The sequence below is a fragment of the Homo sapiens genome, chromosome 2, assembly GCF_000001405.40.
Source record: "Homo sapiens chromosome 2, GRCh38.p14 Primary Assembly".
Classification (NCBI taxonomy): Eukaryota; Metazoa; Chordata; class Mammalia; order Primates; family Hominidae; genus Homo; species Homo sapiens.
Window position 1 is genome coordinate 70,593,618 of NC_000002.12, and position 17,690 is coordinate 70,611,307.

General features: G+C 41.3%; 3 annotated features.

Moving 5' to 3' along the window:
* Positions 2,609-3,808: an enhancer, noted in NCBI's record as "MED14-independent group 3 enhancer chr2:70823358-70824557 (GRCh37/hg19 assembly coordinates)". NCBI's record gives its function as "activates an origin of replication core promoter dependent on BRD2, BRD4, P300/CBP and CDK7 cofactors, and independent of MED14, by STARR-seq in HCT116 cells {active_cell/tissue: HCT116}" and the evidence as "EXISTENCE:reporter gene assay evidence [ECO:0000049][PMID:35650434]".
* Positions 2,760-3,261: an enhancer, noted in NCBI's record as "H3K27ac hESC enhancer chr2:70823509-70824010 (GRCh37/hg19 assembly coordinates)". NCBI's record gives its function as "activates a minimal SCP1, AML or CMV promoter by ChIP-STARR-seq in primed H9 embryonic stem cells {active_cell/tissue: H9 hESC(primed)}" and the evidence as "EXISTENCE:reporter gene assay evidence [ECO:0000049][PMID:30033119]".
* Positions 3,262-3,761: an enhancer, noted in NCBI's record as "H3K27ac hESC enhancer chr2:70824011-70824510 (GRCh37/hg19 assembly coordinates)". NCBI's record gives its function as "activates a minimal SCP1, AML or CMV promoter by ChIP-STARR-seq in primed H9 embryonic stem cells {active_cell/tissue: H9 hESC(primed)}" and the evidence as "EXISTENCE:reporter gene assay evidence [ECO:0000049][PMID:30033119]".

Below are 17,690 nucleotides of genomic sequence, written 5' to 3' on the forward strand. Positions count from 1 at the left end.
TTCCGCCAATCTGAATAGAAGATGATTTCAGTGAAAGGATACTTGGTGGATCATAGAGTTGGTGGGAGGCCTGGAGAGCCAGGCTGGGGGAGTGGGCAGGTGGAGCAGGCTGTTTAGAGTCCTGCTGCTGCCAGTCCCACAGCCCCAGGGCACAGGCCTCTTCTCCTCACCTCCCTTCCTCTAGGTTCAGACCCTGGGCAGGGCTTCCTAGTAGCTGAATTTAGGCCATCCACCTGGGCTCTAGTTGTTTTTTTTTTTTTTTTTTTTTTTTGAGATGGAGTCTCGCTCTGTCACCCAGGCTGGAGTGCAGTGGCACGATCTTGGCTCACTGCAACCTCCGCCTCCGAGGTTCAAGCGATTCTTCTGCCTCAGCCTCCTGAGTAACTGGGATTACAGGCATGTGCCACCATGCCCAGCTAGTTTTGTATTTTTAGTACAGACGGGGTTTCTCCATGTCGGTCAGGCTGGTCTCGAACTCCTGACCTCGTGATCTGCCCGCCTCAGCCTCCCAAAGTGCTGGGATTAAAAGGCTGGCCCCACATTCCACCAAGACTCGCACAGTGGCTGATTCCTTGAACCTAGGAAGGTGTCAGGTGCTGTACCCCAAACATTGAAGTGTCCGCGGTACATATCCCCTCATTGTAAAAGATGAGAAATTTAGTCTGTTTTCCCTTCTTCTTTTTAGTTTGATCAACAAGCACTTATTGACTGCTTTGTAAGAATCAGAAATTGTCATAGGCACAAATTATGTAAATCAAAAGGCCAATTCCTGTCTGCAAGGAATGCATAGTTTGGTACGGGAGAGAACTAGATACTTAAAGGTGCTGTTTTACTGTGATGGGACACATACTAGGAGCATGTATGTTCACAGGGTGGGATTGGAGCAGAGGAAAGAGATGCTTAGCTCTGTCTGAGTGGGAGAGGATGAGTCTGATATGATCTCAAAAGAGGATCATTTTCCAGGTGTTCAGGGTAGGGGAGAAAGGCACAAGCACTCGGATATGTGGAACAACATGGTGCACAGAAAATATATGCACTTTGCTGTCACCAGGACAAGTGTCACCTGTGTAGGCAGGACCAGAGGAGCTGGGGCTGGAGAGTTAGATGGGGCCACCTCACATTAGAGGTGACCGACGGAAGAGGACCCAGCAGAACATGGCCATCCCTACCCCAGCCACATTGGAGCCTGCTGATTCTCTCTCTCTGAAATTTGCTGAGTCTTTGGATCCACAGAGCTTCTAACCCTGCTGGAGCCTGGAGAAGAGGAGAGGGGGGAGCAGAGAGACAGTAGAGATGAGAGAAGGGTGCTGAAAGATGTACCCCGCTTCTGGCTCAGTGAAGACATGACATTTTCCCACAGTTCAGTAGGCACCAGAGAAGGTGGCAAGGCTTGAGTGGCCTTTAGGTTAAGGGGCCCCTGAGGCATTTTCTGAAGGGAGGACCACCTGTGTCAGGAAACTTGCACAGGGGGAGGCCTCACTGGGTCAAGAGAGGACAGCATTTGGATGGCTGACCTTCAGGGGCCACTGAGGACCCACTGGTATTAGCCAGAGAAGTAGCAATACCAAACAGAGTGACCACAAGAGGGACCTTTTGAAAAGAAAGAAGGAAACAATAGTTGCTGGAGAGGATGTGGAGAAACAGGAATGCTTTTACACTGTTGGTGGGAGTGTAAATTAGTTCAACCATTGCGGAAGACAGTGTGGTGATTCCTCAAGGATCTAGAACCAGAAATACCATTTAACCCAGCAATCCCATTACTGGGTATATACCCAAAGGATTAGAAATCATTTTACTATAAAGACACATGCACACATATGTTTATTGTAGCACTATTTACAATAGCAAAGACTTGGAACCAACCCGAATGCCCATCAATGATAGACTGGATAAAGAAAATGTGTCTCATATACACCATGGAATACTATGCAACCATAAAAAAGAATGAGTTCATGTCCTTTGCAGGGACATGGATGAAGCTGGAAACCATCATCCTCAGCAAACTAACATAGGAACAGAAAACCAAACAGCGTATGGTCTAACTCATAAGTGAGAGTTGAACAATGAGAACACATGGACACAGGGAGGGGAACATCACAAACCGGGGCCTGTTCGGGGGTGGTGGGCAAGGGGAGAACATTAGGACAAATACCAAATGCATGCAGGGCTTAAAACTTAAATGACAGGTTAATAGGTGCAGCAAACCACCATGGCACATGTATACCTATGTAACAAACCTGCACGTTCTGCACATGTATCCAGAACTTAAAGTTAAAAAAAAATAAGATCTGGGGATCTAATGTGCAGCATGGTGACAACAGTTAATAATGTTGTATTATATACTTGGAATTAGCTAAGAGAGAGTTTATCTTAAGAGTTCTCACCAAAAAAAACAAAAATTAAAAAGGGAAACTATGTGATTTGAGGGATGGATATGTTAATTAACTTGATTGTGGTAATTATTTTACAATACATACCTATATCAAATCTTCATGTTGTACACTTTAAATATATACTTTAAATATGGGAAAAAAAAGAAAAGAAAGAAAACCCTTCATGTCTATGCCTCCAATGGGCTGAGTCTTCTCAATAGCCTTGGCATTTGTTGGTGGCTAATTGAGGATGCCAAGGAGGGATTTCACTACAGGGCTTGGAACACAGCAGTACTTCCTTAAAATTATCCTTAGAATCTCTTTCTCCTTCCAGCCGCTGCTCAAATCCTACCCTCTTCCACCACCTCTTAAATCTTTTTCCTGCCTGCATTTTCTTACATAAAGCAATCTACTACTGCCATCGGTTCATTCACTCACCGGAACCTGTCTTGCCAGGACCTGACCTCAGCAGACTGAGTCATACCAGCATCATCCTTGTTGGGGCCCAGGTCTGCATCCCGCTTCCGGCCCCAGCCCCACTGTTAGCTCCATCAGGTCCTCTGGGGCACACCAAGGAGGCCGTTTTCTCTCCCTTTTTCTGAATTAGATCCCCAGAAACAAGACATCAGGCTTCCTGGGGAAATCTAATTTTGCTCATGAATTTGACCATTCATTGTTGCTCAGTTACCTGTGCCCAGCTCTTTCTGCCTTTTCAAACTGCACTCAGCTGTGCCCTTGAATGAACTGGGGCAGAAGTCCTTAGGTCCTGATCACACATGCTGTTCCCAACTTCCCTTCCCCTTGACACGCTGTGGTGAACTCTGAATTCCAGCACGTCTCCACTCTGCTGTAGAGCCTTTCTAGGGCTGGCAAGCATTCTGCCACAGAGCTGGTCTTTGTGGCTTTATGCCCACAGTAATTACTAGGGCTGGGCCATGCAACCGTCTAACCTCTTCAATTTACAGCCTCCAGGATCTGCCACCCCTGTGGCATTTGGAGGGTGTCTAACCACAGACCGGACGTGCGTGGTAGCAGGTGGTCTGCTTGATTGCTGGTCCTTCAGTGACCCCTCTGCTCTCCAGTGGCCAGACAGGGATTCAGAACATGCCCAGGCATGTCTGCTACTGACGTCCTCATCCATGAAATTCCCAATATCTGCAGAAATTGTGTATTTGTACATGTTGATTCTATAATAAATACTGAATCCCAGCCTGTACTGCAGAAAGGCTTCCTTAGCCTCTCAGTCTGGCTTACGTAAAGCAGCGTAAGTGTGATTCTCCATTTCACACACCGGGGCCCTTAACATTCCATGCCCTCATGGCTCTAATTCTGATTTTGGAACAGACCCCACCATTTCCCTCTTTTTGAAGGTGACTTTGCAAGGATCACATAACTCCTGTTGGGCCAACTTCCTTTCCCTTGTACTATGAGCATAACAACTAGATGGTCAACCCGAAAGCTCATTCTTGTCACAGTTCTGGGGGGATCAGTTACCTGAAGCATACTCAGGTTGAAACCCCAGACAAACCTTACCAAATATGATGTGAACATTCCAGTCTGCCCTGTAGACCCTCACTATGGTATCACATCCCAATAAACACAAGCCCACCTCAAAAGAAAAAAGAAAGATTGATAAGTAATGCAGGTCTTTACTTCTTGTAAACCCAGAAGAGAGGATTACATAGCACGTCAGACAAAAATATCTCTTAAAATCCTTTCTAAGCAATTCTTGTTATGCCCGAACTTTGATTTCTCATCAGTTTCTTATGGTGAGTGCCCTATACCTAAATCCCTCCAGTATTTCCTCCATTTCTTTGCCTCTCTGTTCCTTTCTTTCTTTCTCTCTTTTTCCCTCTCTCCTTCTGTCCTGTTATTACATTTCCTTAGTGTTTCATTGCATCTGCTTCTCTGGTCAGCAAAACAAAACCATCTCCTTTGAGGCCCACCCTTCTTAAAAGGACCAGAGGGATAAATTTTTTTTTCTGCAGTTATTTTTTAATTAAACTTTTTATTTTGAGATAAATGTAGGCTCACATGCAGTTTTAAGAAATAATACAGATTAATCCCTTGTGTGTTTCCCCAATGGTAACATGTTGCCAAACCATAGCATAATTTGATATTGTCATCGATACAGTCAAGTACAGACCATTTCTATCCCATAAAGATCCCTCATGTTGTCATTTTATGGGCACATTTACTTCCCTCTCTGTCACCCTTCCTTAGCCCTTGGCAATCACTAATCTGTTCTCCATTTTGGTAATTGTGTCATTTCAAGACTGTTATATAAATGAAATAATACAGTAGATAACCGTTTGAGAGTGGCTTTTTCACTGAGCATACTTCTCTGGATTCATCCAGTTTGGTGCCTGTATCATATTAATAATTCCTTTTCATTGCTGAGTAGTATTCTACAGTAAGGATATACCACAGTTTATTTAACCATTTACTCCTTGAAAGACATCTGGTTTGTTTCCAGTTTTTGGCTATTGGAATTAAGCTGCTATTCATGTAAAAGGTTTTGTGTAAACCTAGGTTGTCATTTCTCTGGGATATATATATATATCCAGGAGTGCAATTGCTGGGTCATTTGGTAGCTATATGTTTAATGTTTTTAAAGAAACTGCCAAACATTTTTCCAGAATGACCTTTCTGTCCTTGCCAGCATTTGGTTGGTGTCACTATTTTTTAATTTTAGCCATTCTGGTAAGTGTGTAGTGACATTTCATTGTGGTTTTAATTTGCATTGTCTTGATAGCTAATGATATGAAATATCTTTTCATATGCTTTTTTGCTATCTGTATGTCACTTTCCGTATCTTTTGCCCATTTTCTAAGTGGATTGTTTGCTTTTTTACTGTTGAATATCGAGAGTTCTCTATATATTCTCAATACTAGTTCTTTGTTAGATGCATGGTTTGAAAATATTTTCTCCAATGCCCTTTCTTTTCACCCACTTAAGAGGGTCTTTCACCAGACAAACATTTTTAAGTTTGATGAAGTCCAATTTATCAGTTTTTCCTTTTATGGACCATGCTTTTGGGATCAAATCTAAGAATTCTTTGCCTAACCCTAGATGTCAAGCATTTTTTGTGTGCTTTTTTTCTGTAAAAGTTTTATAGTTTTACATTTTACATTTAAATCCATGATTCATTGTTGAATTAATTTTTGTGTAAAGATGTGAGACTCAGAGGTTCATCATGTCCAGTGTCCCAGCACCATTTGAAAATGTTGAAAAGCTATCTTTCCTGTATTAAATTGTTTTGCATCTTTGTCAAAAATGAGATGGGCATATTCATGTGGGTCTATTTCTGGGTTCTCTGTTCTGTTTCATTGATCATGTGGCCTTTGTGATCTTTGCCAATATCACACTGTTTTGGTTACTGTAGCTATATAAGAAGTCTAGGAATTGGATAGACTGCTTCTACTTTATTCTTCTTTTTCACAGTTGTTTGAGCTATTCTAGTTATTTTGACTGCCCATATAAATTTTAGAATAATGTTGTTTGTGTCTTTAAAAATCTTGCTGAGATTTTGATAGGAATTGTGTTAAAAGTGTACATCAATTTGGGGAGAATTGAATTTGTTACTATGTTGAGTCTTCCAATTCATATTGGAAGTCTTCCATTCATATTTCAATATTATATCTCTTCAACATTATATCTCCCTATTAGTTATATCTTTGGTTTCTTTCATCAGTATTATATACTATTCAGCATAGAAGTCCTATATGTTTTGTTAGATATACATCTATTTCTTTTTTAGTGATTATAAATGATATTGTATTTTTCATTTCAGTGGCTGTGTGTTCATTGCTAGAATATAGAAATACACTCTTTTGTATGTTTATTTTGTATTCTGTGACCTTGCTGAAGTCACTTATTAGTTATATGAAGGTTTTTTAAAAAATATTCCTTAGGATTGTCTATGTGCAAATTGGGACAGTTCTATTTTCTCCTTTCTAATCTGTGTGCTCTTCATTCCTCCCAGCTCCCCATTATATTGGTTAGAACTTTCAGCACTTGGTAAGTAAGAGTAGAGCAGACATCCTTGCCTTGTTCCCAATCTCAGGAGGAAAGCATTCAGTCTTTCTCCACTAAGTATACTGTTAGCTGTAGGGTTTTTTTGTAGATGTTCTTCATCAAATTGAGGGAATTCCTGTCTATTCCTGTTTTCCTTTTCTTTTTTTCTGAGAGCTTTTATCATGAATCAGTGTCAAATATTGTCAAATGTGTTTTCTGCAACGATTAATCATGTGATTTTTCTTCTTTAGCCTGTTAATATGATAGATTACATTGGTTGACTTCGAATAGTGAGCCAGCCTTGCTTGCATCCCTGGAATAAACTTCTTCACTTGGTCATGTTATATAAATCTTTTCATGGATTGGTGAATTCTACTTGCTAATATTTTGTTTAGAATTTTTGCATCTGTATTCATGAGGACTATTGGTCTGCAGTTTTTATCTATCTATTTATTTATTTATTTATTAAATATTTTTTAGTTTATCTTGCTGTTCTTTTTTTTATACTTTAAGTTCTAGGGTACATGTGCACAACGTGCAGGTTTGTTACATATGTATACATATGCCATTTATGCAGCCAACAGACACATGAAAAAATGCTCATCATCACTGCCCATCAGAGAAATGCAAATCAAAACCACAATGAGATACCATCTCACACCAGTTAGAATGGTGATCATTAAAAAGTCAGGAAACAACAGGTGCTGGAGAGGATGTGGAGAAATAGGAACACTTCTACACTGTTGGTGGGACTGTAAACTGGTTCAACCATTGTGGAAGACAGTGTGGTGATTCCTCAAGGATCTAGAACTAGAAATACCATTTGACCCACTATCCCATTACTGGGTATATACCCAAAGGATTAGAAATCATGCTGCTATAAAGACACATGCACACGTATGTTTATTGCGGCACTATTCACAATAGCAAAGATTTGGAACCAACCCAAATGTCCATCAATGGTAGACTGGATTAAGAAAATGTGGCACATATACACCATGGAATACTATGCAGCCATAAAAAAGGATGAGTTCATGTCCTTTGTAGGGACATGGATGAAGCTGGAAACCATCATTCTCAGCAAACTGTCGCAATGACAAAAAACCAAACACCGCATGTTCTCACTCACAGGTGGGAATTGAACAATGAGAACACTTGGACACAGGGTGGGGAACATCACACACCTGGGCCCGTCGTGAGGTGGGGGAAGCGGGGAGGGATAGCATTAGGAGATATACCTAATGTAAATGATGAGTTAATGGGTGCAGCACACCAATATGGCACATGTATACGTATGTAACAAAACTGCACGTTGTGCACATGTACCCTAGAACTTAAAGTATAATAATAATAATGATAAAAAACAACAGCAAGATGGTCTGCTGTTTTTAAAATTTATACTGCCTTTTTCTGGTTTTGGTAACAGGGTAATATTAACTTCATAAAATGAGTTGGGAGATGTTTTTTCCTCTTCTGCTTTCTGGAAGATATTGTGTAGAACTGGTGTTAATTCTTATTCAGTGTTTGGTAGTGAAATAATCAAGGCTTCGGAATTTCTTTTGTAGGAGTTTTATAACTACAGATTAAATTTTCTTGATAGGTAAAAGGTTATTCAAATATGTTTTTTATTGGGTAAGTTGTGATAGTTTGGTTTCTCCAAGGAATGGTTTTTCTGAGAATTTCTGAGAATGAAATTCTTTTTTTTTTTTTTTCTTTTGAGACGGGCTTACTCTGTCACCTAGGCTAGAGTGTGGCGGCACAATCACGACTCATGGCAGCCATGACCTCCTAGGTTCAAGCATTTTTTGTAGAGACAGGGTTTTGCCATGTTGCCCAGGTTGGTCTCCAACTCCTAGGCTCAAGTGATCCACCCGCTTCGTCCTCCCAAAGTGCTGGGTCTACAGGCGTGAGCCACTGCATCCAGTCAGTATTCTCTCGTTTTTGATGTCTGTAGAGTCTGCAGTGATATCCTCTGTTTATTACTAGTATTGGTAATTTGTGTCTTCTCTCTTTTTATTTGTCAGTCTTGTTAGAAGTTTGACCATATTCTTGATATTTTTCAAAGAACCACCTCTTCCTTCCATTGATTTTATCTATTGTTTTCCTGTTTTCAAGTTTATTGATTTGTGTTCTTTGTTATTTTTTTTCTTCTGTCTGCTACAGGTTTATTTTGTTCTTTTTATGCTAAGTTCTTAAGATTGGAGCTTAGGTTTTTTATTCAAGTCTTTCCTTTTTTCCCAATTATATACGTTTAGTGCTGTAAATTTCCCTCTCGGCAGCTTTAGCTATGTGCCACAAATTTTTAATATGTTATATTTTCATTTTCATTCAGTTCAAGGTATTTTTAAACTTCTCTTTAGACTGCATCTTTGACCCATGTATTATTTAGAAGTATGTTATTTTGTTTCCAAGTGTTTGAAGATTTTCCTGTTATCTTCTTGTTATTGATTTCTGGTTTGATTTCAATTGTGGTCAGAGAGCATGCTCTGTATGGACTTACTTTTTGTATCTATTGAGATTTGTTTTATGGTCCAGGATATGGTCTATCTCGGTGTATGTTCTCTGTGGGCACTTGAAAACAGTGTATATTCTGCTGTTTTAGGGTGGCGTATTCTATTAATGCCAATTTGATACTTTTGGTAGATGGTTCTGTTAAGTTCTTCTATATCTTTGCTGATTTTCTGCCTAGTTTTATAAAATTTTGAGGGGTGATAGTGTTGAAGTCTCCAACTATAATTATGAATTTGTCTATTTTTCCTTTCAGTTTTATCAGTTTTTGCTTCAAATATTTTGTAGCTCTGTTGTTTGGTACATACATATTTAGGATTTATGTATTTACCCTTGATGGATTTACCCTTTTATCATTATATAATGTTCCACTTTTCTCTCACAAATTTGTTTGTTTTGATGTCTACTTTATCTGATGTTAATATAGACAATTTTGCTTATTTTTATTTTTCCATTTACATGATATATCTTTTCCCATCCTTTAACTTTTAATCTGCCTATGTCATTATATTTGAAATGAGTTTTTTCTTGACAGCAGTTATAGCATGTTTTAAAATTTACTTTGCTAATCCTTCTTTTATTGGGTATATTTAAACCTTTTAATGTTATTGTTCATATGATAAGGCTTAAGTTTCCCATTTTATTTTTTGTTTTAAGTTTATTCTCTTTGTTAGAGTTTTTTCTTGCCTTCTTGTGAGTTACTTAAATAATTTTTTAGAACTCCATTTTGATTTATCTATGCTGTTTTTGAATGTCTCTTTTTGTATAGTTTTTTTTTAGTGGTTGTTCTAGGTATTACATTATATATACATAACTTATCACAGTGTGCTGGTGTTTTCATTTTACTAGTTTGACTGAAGTATAGAAACTTTATCTACCTTTGCACATCTTTATCTTCTCCCACATCAGACAGTTTTATAATTTCTGCTTCAATCATCAAACATAATTTAGTAAACTCAAGAGGAAAAGGAAAGCCTAATATATATTTACCTATATTTTTGCTTATAGTAATCTTTCTTTCTCTCTCTTTTTGATGTCCCAGTATTTCTTCTTTAACTGCTTCATTTCTATTTATAGAATTTCCTTTAGCCATTCTTTTAGGGTAGGTTTGTTGGTGTCAAATTGTCTTAGTTTTCCTTTATCTGAGATTGTCTTCCTCTCTGGGTTGGCAGTTTTTTTCTCTTTCAGCACTTGAAAAATATTGTGCCACTTCCTTCAGGCCTCAGTGGTTTCTGATAAGAAATCCTCTCTCATTAGAGTTATTTTTCCTCTATTGGCAAGCTTTTCATCTGGTTGTCTTTAAGATTTTTTTGTCTTTAGTTTTCAAAATTTAATTATAATGTGTCTTGGTATAGATTTCTTAGGTTTTATCCTGTTTGGGGGTTTATTCAGCTTTCTAAATCTGTAGGTTTATGTCACTTGGCAAATTGAAGGAATTTTTGCCTTTATGTCTTTAACTACTTTTTCAGTCCTATCCTTTTTCTTCTCTCCTTCCAGGACTCCAGTAACATGAATGTTAGATCTTTTGTTACAGTTCCATAAGTCCTTAAGGCTCTGTATATTTTTAAAGTTAATTTTCTCTCTTTTATTCATATTGGCTAGTTTCATTGTTCTATCTTCCAGATCATGAATTCTTTCCTACATCCCTCCATTCTGCTGTTGAGCCCATCTACTGAGTTTTTTATTTATTATATTTTTCAGTTCCAAAGTTTACATTTGGTTGCCTTTATATATATATATATATATATATTTTTTTTTTTTTTTGATGGAGTTTCACTTTGTCGCCAGGCTGGAGTGCAGTGGCTAGATCTTGTCTCACTGCAATCTCTGTCTCCTGGGTTCAAGCGATTCTCCTGCCTCAGCCTCCTGAGTAGCTGGGATTACAGGCATGCGCCACCACACCCAGCTAATTTTTGTATTTTTGGTAGAGACAGGGTTTCACCATATTGGCCAAGATGGTCTCCATCTCCTGACCTCGTGATCCGCCCCCCTTGGCCTCCCAAAGTGCTGGGATTACAGGTGTGAGCCACTGCCCCTGGCCTATTCTTCTCTTTCCTTCCTGAGACTTTCTGTTTCTTTGCTGAGGTGTTCTGTTTTTTTCATGTTTGAAGTATATTTGTAATTTCTTATTGAAATATTTTTATCATACATGCTTTTAAATCTTTGTCAAATGCTTCTAACATCTCTGACCTCTTGATGGTGGTGTGTATTGGCTTTTTTATAATTCAGTTTGAGATCTTCTTGGTTCTTGCAAATCAGATGAATGATTTTCAATTAAAATCTGGACATTTTTGTTTTGCATTCTATAACTCCGGATATTCTCTTTTAGCTGGCTTTCTTTGATACTGCTATGGCAGGTTCCTTAGGTCCCAGGTCCCTGGTTAGTCTGCCTTCTTCTCTCCCCCTTTTAGAATCTTCTTATGCTTATTTTACATATAATGTCCAGGATTTTTAGCTGTGATTTGCAGGAGGAATAAGAAAAAGTACAGCTATTCCATCTTCCCAGAAGTGTTTGTTTGTTTGAGACAGAGTATAGCTCAGTCACTCAGACTGCAGTGCAGTGGCACACTCTTGGCTCATTGCAGTCTCCACTTCCCAGGCTCAAGTGATCCTCCCACCTCAGCCTCTCTAGTGACTGAGACTACAGGTGACTGCCACCAAACCCAACTAATTTTTGTAATTTTTTTTGGTAGAGATCGGGTTTTGCCATGTTGCCCAAGCTGGTCTTGAACTCCTGGGCTCAAGGGATCTGCCCACCTCAGCCTCCCAACGTGCTAGGATTACAGGTGTGAGCCATCATGCCTGGCCAGAAGTAGAAGTCAGGCAATAATTTTAAACCATTACATGTAAGTTATTGTCTTTGTCACACATCAAATCAAAATAATATTTTTGTTTTATACAAACTGTTCTAGGGGCTATATAGCAGGTGGATTTGAGCATAACCCAAATGAAATCTGATAAATTTTGAAGTTATTGACAGAAATGAAAAGACATAGTGGTAGGGTGGATGGAGAGAAAGGGAGAATTCTAGGAATACCATAATGTGCTGCATAATGATGTTTCAGTCAATTAGGGACCACATATGGGACAGTGGTCCCAAAAGATTACAATATCATATTTTTACTGTACATTTTCTATGTTTATATATACAAATACTTACTACTGTGTTACAGTTGTCTCCAGTATTTAGTACAGTAACATGCTGTACAGGTTTGCAGCCTAGGATCAATAGGCTATACCCTATAGCCTAGGGGTGTAGTAGGCTATGCCATCTAGGTTTGTGCAAGTACGCTCTATGATGTTTGCACAACAAAGAAATCACCCAACACATTTATCAGGCATATCCCCAGTGTTAATCAATGTATGGCTGTGTTTAGGAGACAAAACAGATAGGACTAAGTGATTTTTTGAATATAGGGAATGCATGAAAGGAAAGAGGCTAGACTGTTTTTTATATCTTGGGATCCAATATGGTGGGTTCATTATAAGACTGGGAACGCAGGAGGAGGAGTAGGTCTCATAAAGAGGAGAAGGAAGAAAGATATGTTTGGTTTTAGATACGTTGAGTTTGAGAGACTCACAGATCATCCAAGTGGAGTCGCCTATCAAGCAGTTATATATGCCGATGTAAAGAAGTATAGGGGAGAGGACAGAGCTGGTTCTACTTGTTTGAATGTCCTCAGCACAATATGGTAGTAAAACCATGAGAGAGGGAGTGACTTGGGTAAGAATAGAGAAGGAAGAGCAGTGCGCCAAGGAGCAGGAGCTTGAATGTGGAGGAATAAGAGGGAGGGGAGAGAGTGGAGAGAGCAAGTGCAGACCTGCTTCTCACAGTTTGGTGCACAGGGAAGGATAATGGTAGGAAAGGAGCTACATAGTGAGGATTAGTATTAATTTTTCACTATGCTTATAAGAAGAAGAAAAACATACGGTAGGGAGGAAGTTGAAGATGTAGGAGAGACTGGTGGACCAAGGGGCAAGCAACCAACTGGGGATGTAGAGGAAGGACTGGCTTCAAGCCCAAGTCCAGATACTAGATCCTTTGAGTCTGGAGAAATGGAGGTGAAGATGAGGCAGATGTAGATAAATCTTCAGATGGGGAGCAGGAAAGGGAAGTCATTTATAGATGCCCACTCCAATTACCTTAATGAAGTGGGTGGTAGGTCCTCTCCTGGGATAAGAGCGAGGGGGAGCTTGGACATGATGCTAAGGACTTGAAAAGAGAGAAGGTGTTGCCTATGGACAAGGAAAGGGGTGTCGGTTGGGTCTGAGTTCTCAGCTTAGGTTGGACACATGGACCCTGCAGTGGCAGCCCCACTGTTAAGGACTAAGATGGTTTTCCAATCGAGTACACAAGTCAGCCCTAACCGTATTTTAATCTGTGTAATGTGGGCCAGAATTGATACGTTCTTGGCAACAGAAAAAAATGAATAAGACATCTTACTGATGGTTTTTCAATGCAGAAAAAAATGTTAATGTGAAATTTGCTCTACAAGACATTCATTTGTAAATACCACTGGTAACAGACTTGTATGGTTTGTGTTGTATAATTAGTGTGAAAGAAAGAAAGGAATTCCATGAATTGCCTATATTTCACTGCTTGGGCACCGAATCAACTGAGGTCAGGTAATAATAAGCAGTCTTGCTACCAGCCTTATTCATTGAATCATCTCTTAGGTTGCCAAGACAATGCTCTTCTTTATGCCACATGGAGGCCTAGCCTCTGTGATTGTAGGAACTCCTGCCAACTCAGCTCTTGGCTTGGTGACCCGAGGGTTCTCAGGCCACATCCTCAGAGACAGCCGGTGCCACGGACACATCCGTTGTCTTGTTGCCACACGATAGCTATTGAAAACCCCAAAGTGGAGACTCACTGCAGAACCTCTATTCAGTCCACACAGAGCCCCAGGGAGAACAGGGCTGACGTCAGCCTGGGAGGTGAGAAGCCCGAACCCAGAGAAGGCAGGCTGTGTTCCAGGACATGACAGTTTCTGTGGAGAGAAGATATATGTCCTTCTCTCTGCTAGAGCATGGCTAAAGCTGGAGGGGCAGTGAAGCTGAGCCCTCTAAGGAGTTCAGTTCATGCATTATTCAGGAGGTGGCCAAGAAAGGCTGAGATGGCAGAGGGAGACAGAAACAAATTTATATTTCAAGCTGAAGATTCCATTATGAAACCAAATTCTATTTAAATGAAGTCCTGAGTCTGGTCATCCAAGTAAATCCAGGAGTAAGAGGAGCCCAGGGTGGTCCCTCTATCCCCAGGCAGTGTGAAGAGTCTGCTATTGGTCCTAAATTTGCTTGGATCATCTCTTCCTTTCACTAAAGAAAGAACAAAAACAGGCATTTATTGAATACCGTTTGTGGTTCGCCTTCTTGAACAGGCCTTCCTTAATCTTCACAACAACCTGTAAAGCAAAGATAAGCACTTACCTTTTATAGTAGAGGAGAGTGAGGAGTGGAGGGGGTTAAGGAACTTACCTACTGACAAATAAACATAAGTGGTGGGGCTGGGATTAGGACCCAGGTTTTGTGACATAGAAGCCTACAAATACTCTTCCCCTTGTATCCAAAGAAACCAATAAAGTAATCTTCTCTGTGTTTCTTTCTGTTCAAGGTGCCCACTTATGCATCCTAAGAATTTGTAACTCAAGATTGAATGACCTCAGAGGGCAAGTGGGCATTTGCCCAATGGCTTAGAGGGTTGGAGGGTCATTTTTCACTTTTATGGATTTTGGAAAAGGCACAACTCAATGTCTTTGAATTTGATGTTTCTCCCTGCCTAGAGCACTCATTTTATACTTGTTTATATCCTGATGCAGGTACGTCCTGGGAGACTGGACCTCAGTAGCTTCATCATTTCTGGAACGGGGACTTGAGGTATTGGTTTTTTGGGATCCAAAAGTCAGAACACATGGTCTAACGAAAGCCTGTTTATGATTTATAAACATGTATGTATAAAAGGAATAACAACCGAAACCCATCTACTTGCACAGGTTAATAAATGATTTTTATGGAAGGGTTCACAATTATGAGTCATCCTGGCTGAATCTGCAGTAACAGCATCACGCTGAGAATGGGGGAATATTCAGGACACCCTTGCTGAATAGAACTCATTTTAATTGAGCTGCATGATGTCCTGACACACAGAAATGCCTTGCCAGCTTTTCAAGTGGATGTCCTGCCCCTGTTGCTGTCAAAAGATGCTACAAGTAGAAACACCTTCTGTTAATAATCCCGAGTGGGTCACGCATATTTTCCTTCAGTAGTCGTGCTAATACTCTCAGGAAGTGAGCCTCTTTGAAGCTACTGAATCTCCTTCCCAGTCCCCAGGGCCTGGTGCTGGTCCCCTTGGCACACGGTCTCCAGGTACATCTCTTTGGGGTACCAGAGTGGCACGTCCCCTGCAATCTGCTTGTAACCCTGAGCAAAGACTTCACGCTGCTGACCAGGCCCATGGCCCATGTGCCCTGTCAGGCCTCTGCTACTTAGCCTGGCCACAGCCTTGATGTCACACCTGTCCCTCCACACCATTCTGTGATTTCTTCTGTGATTCTTTCTTCCATGGATGATGTTCTGCTTAACCCTTCCCAATAACTGGAATAATCCCTTAGAATATTGATCCGTTGTAAATCACTGCTCACATCCCCATGTCTTCAGGTTTTTCACAGAGCCTTCCTTCCACTTCCTGCCTTGAACAGCTCTCTCTCAGGAAAAGCTGGGGCCTGGCACCCATGGGTGTAGCCTGGGAGGTTGAAAGTTTTGTGGAGAAGACCCACCTCCAGCATAGCAGCTGGGGAGTGCTGTATTCATGGCTGAGTGAGGCGTCTAGGTGGGTGAACCTGAGAACAGTTTCACAGGGCATGTGCCTCCAGTGTGGTGCAGGGAGGTGCCAAGATGATCAGCAGAACCAAAGAGGTCCTGTCCTTGGGACAAGAAGGAAAAAGGCAATGTAAACCCGACACTGGTGGCCTCACCTCAGTAGCAGACAAAGCTGAGGAATAAGACGATGCCAAGTTCCCTTGGACAAGCTGACCCTCAGCAGAGGCCAGTGAGGCTCAACAGAGGCCAAAGGCCATTCTGGCACCTCCCTCTCAAGTCATGAGGATGACATCTGAAAATAGAGATCATTTTACGTCTTCCTTTCTAATCTGAGTGCTTTGTATTTCTTTTTCTCACCCAGTTGGCCTTGCTAGAAGCTTCCAGTATATTTTTGGAAGTTTTAAGTGTTGCTGTGGCTTCTTCCAAGCCATTTGCTCTTGGGTGGGCAGGGGATGAGCAGGCCATGGTACTGCCCCTTCCTGTGGCCATGATTCCCCGAAGCCCTGTTTCTATTAAAGACACATTTATGGCCAGGCGCGGTGGCTCACACCTGTAATCCCAGCACTTTGGGAGGCCGAGGCAGGTGGATCGCCTGAAGTCAGGAGTTTGAGACCAGCCTGGCCAACATGGCAAACCCCATCTCTACTAAAAATACAAAAATTAGCTGGGCGTGGGGGCGGGCGCTTGTAATCCCAGCTACTCGGGAGGCTGAGGCCGAGAGAATCGTTTGAACCTGGGAGGCAGAGGTTGCAGTGAGCCGAGATCACCCCACTGCACTCCAGCTTGGGCAACGGATTGAGACTCTGTCTCAAAAAAAAAAAAATTATAATGATCTATGAAATTATCTGAATAGGCTTTAAGAACTTTCCAAGTTTTAGTTTTTCTCCTAGCTTCATACCCCCTGTTTCCTTCCAGGTGGGATTGGATGAGAGAGACTTTCAGAATGGCCATCCCACAACCACCTCTAAATCCTGGAAGATGTTCCTGGAATACTGCCCATGGGACCCCTGGAGCCACATCCCTAAGGATAGACTAGGGAATCAAATAAGCTGGAACACTGCCCAGGATCCTCTGTCCATCCCCTCTTCCTTGCATGTGGACAGAGGGCTATTGCATCCCCAGCTACTGCAAACCATTGGATAGTTTAAGGGACTGGTCATTTGGTTGATTTTCTGTAAATTAATCTGGAGACATCTTCTCTAGCATAAACCTGAGGGAGGGAAAGCCAGTCCATTCCTACCAGAACAGGATAACGTGGAAGAAAGAGGAAAAGAGGGTGGGAGTCAAAAATGTCTAGTTTGCCACCAACTGCCAAGCACCACTCTAAGGTTGTGAAGGCTGCACATGGCAGTAGCTCCAGGACTTACTGCATGAGAAGAGAGAGCAAAGAGGATATGGAGAGAGGACCTGATGCTCCCAAAGCTCACACTCCTTGACCATGTAGTGCCTATGGAAGAAGAAATCTAAGAATGTTATGACTGCGACTTAGAGGGGCAATGGCTTAGCTCTGATCCTGCCACATGGGATGAAAGTGAAATCCTGCAGGCAGAACCAAAAAGAGCAGAAGGTGGGTGAAGTGTTAGTGGAAATGGATAGTATTTGGCTAGAAGATCCAAGGGAAGCCTGAATCCCATCTAACCATCACTTCTCCCTCTGTGAGGCTCCGGCAAGAGCTGCTCATACAAGGAGCAAGAGCAGAAAGGCACTCAAGTGTCACATGATAGCGGAACCAGAGCCTAATCCCTTCCAGAGCAGGTCAAAGCTGGGGTGGAGCAGGTAGCTTAGGAGCTCCCTAAGCCTGAGTCCAAGTCTTGGGGGTCTTGTCTTCTTCTGGTGGGTTCCATGGTATGGGAGGCTGAAGCAATCAGCAATATGCTCAGGCCAATCCTCAGTGGGAGAGAGGCATGGTGCGGCCCATGATTCTGGTGCATTAAGTGTAAGTGAGAGTGGAGCCTGGCTGTGCCACCACCTCTG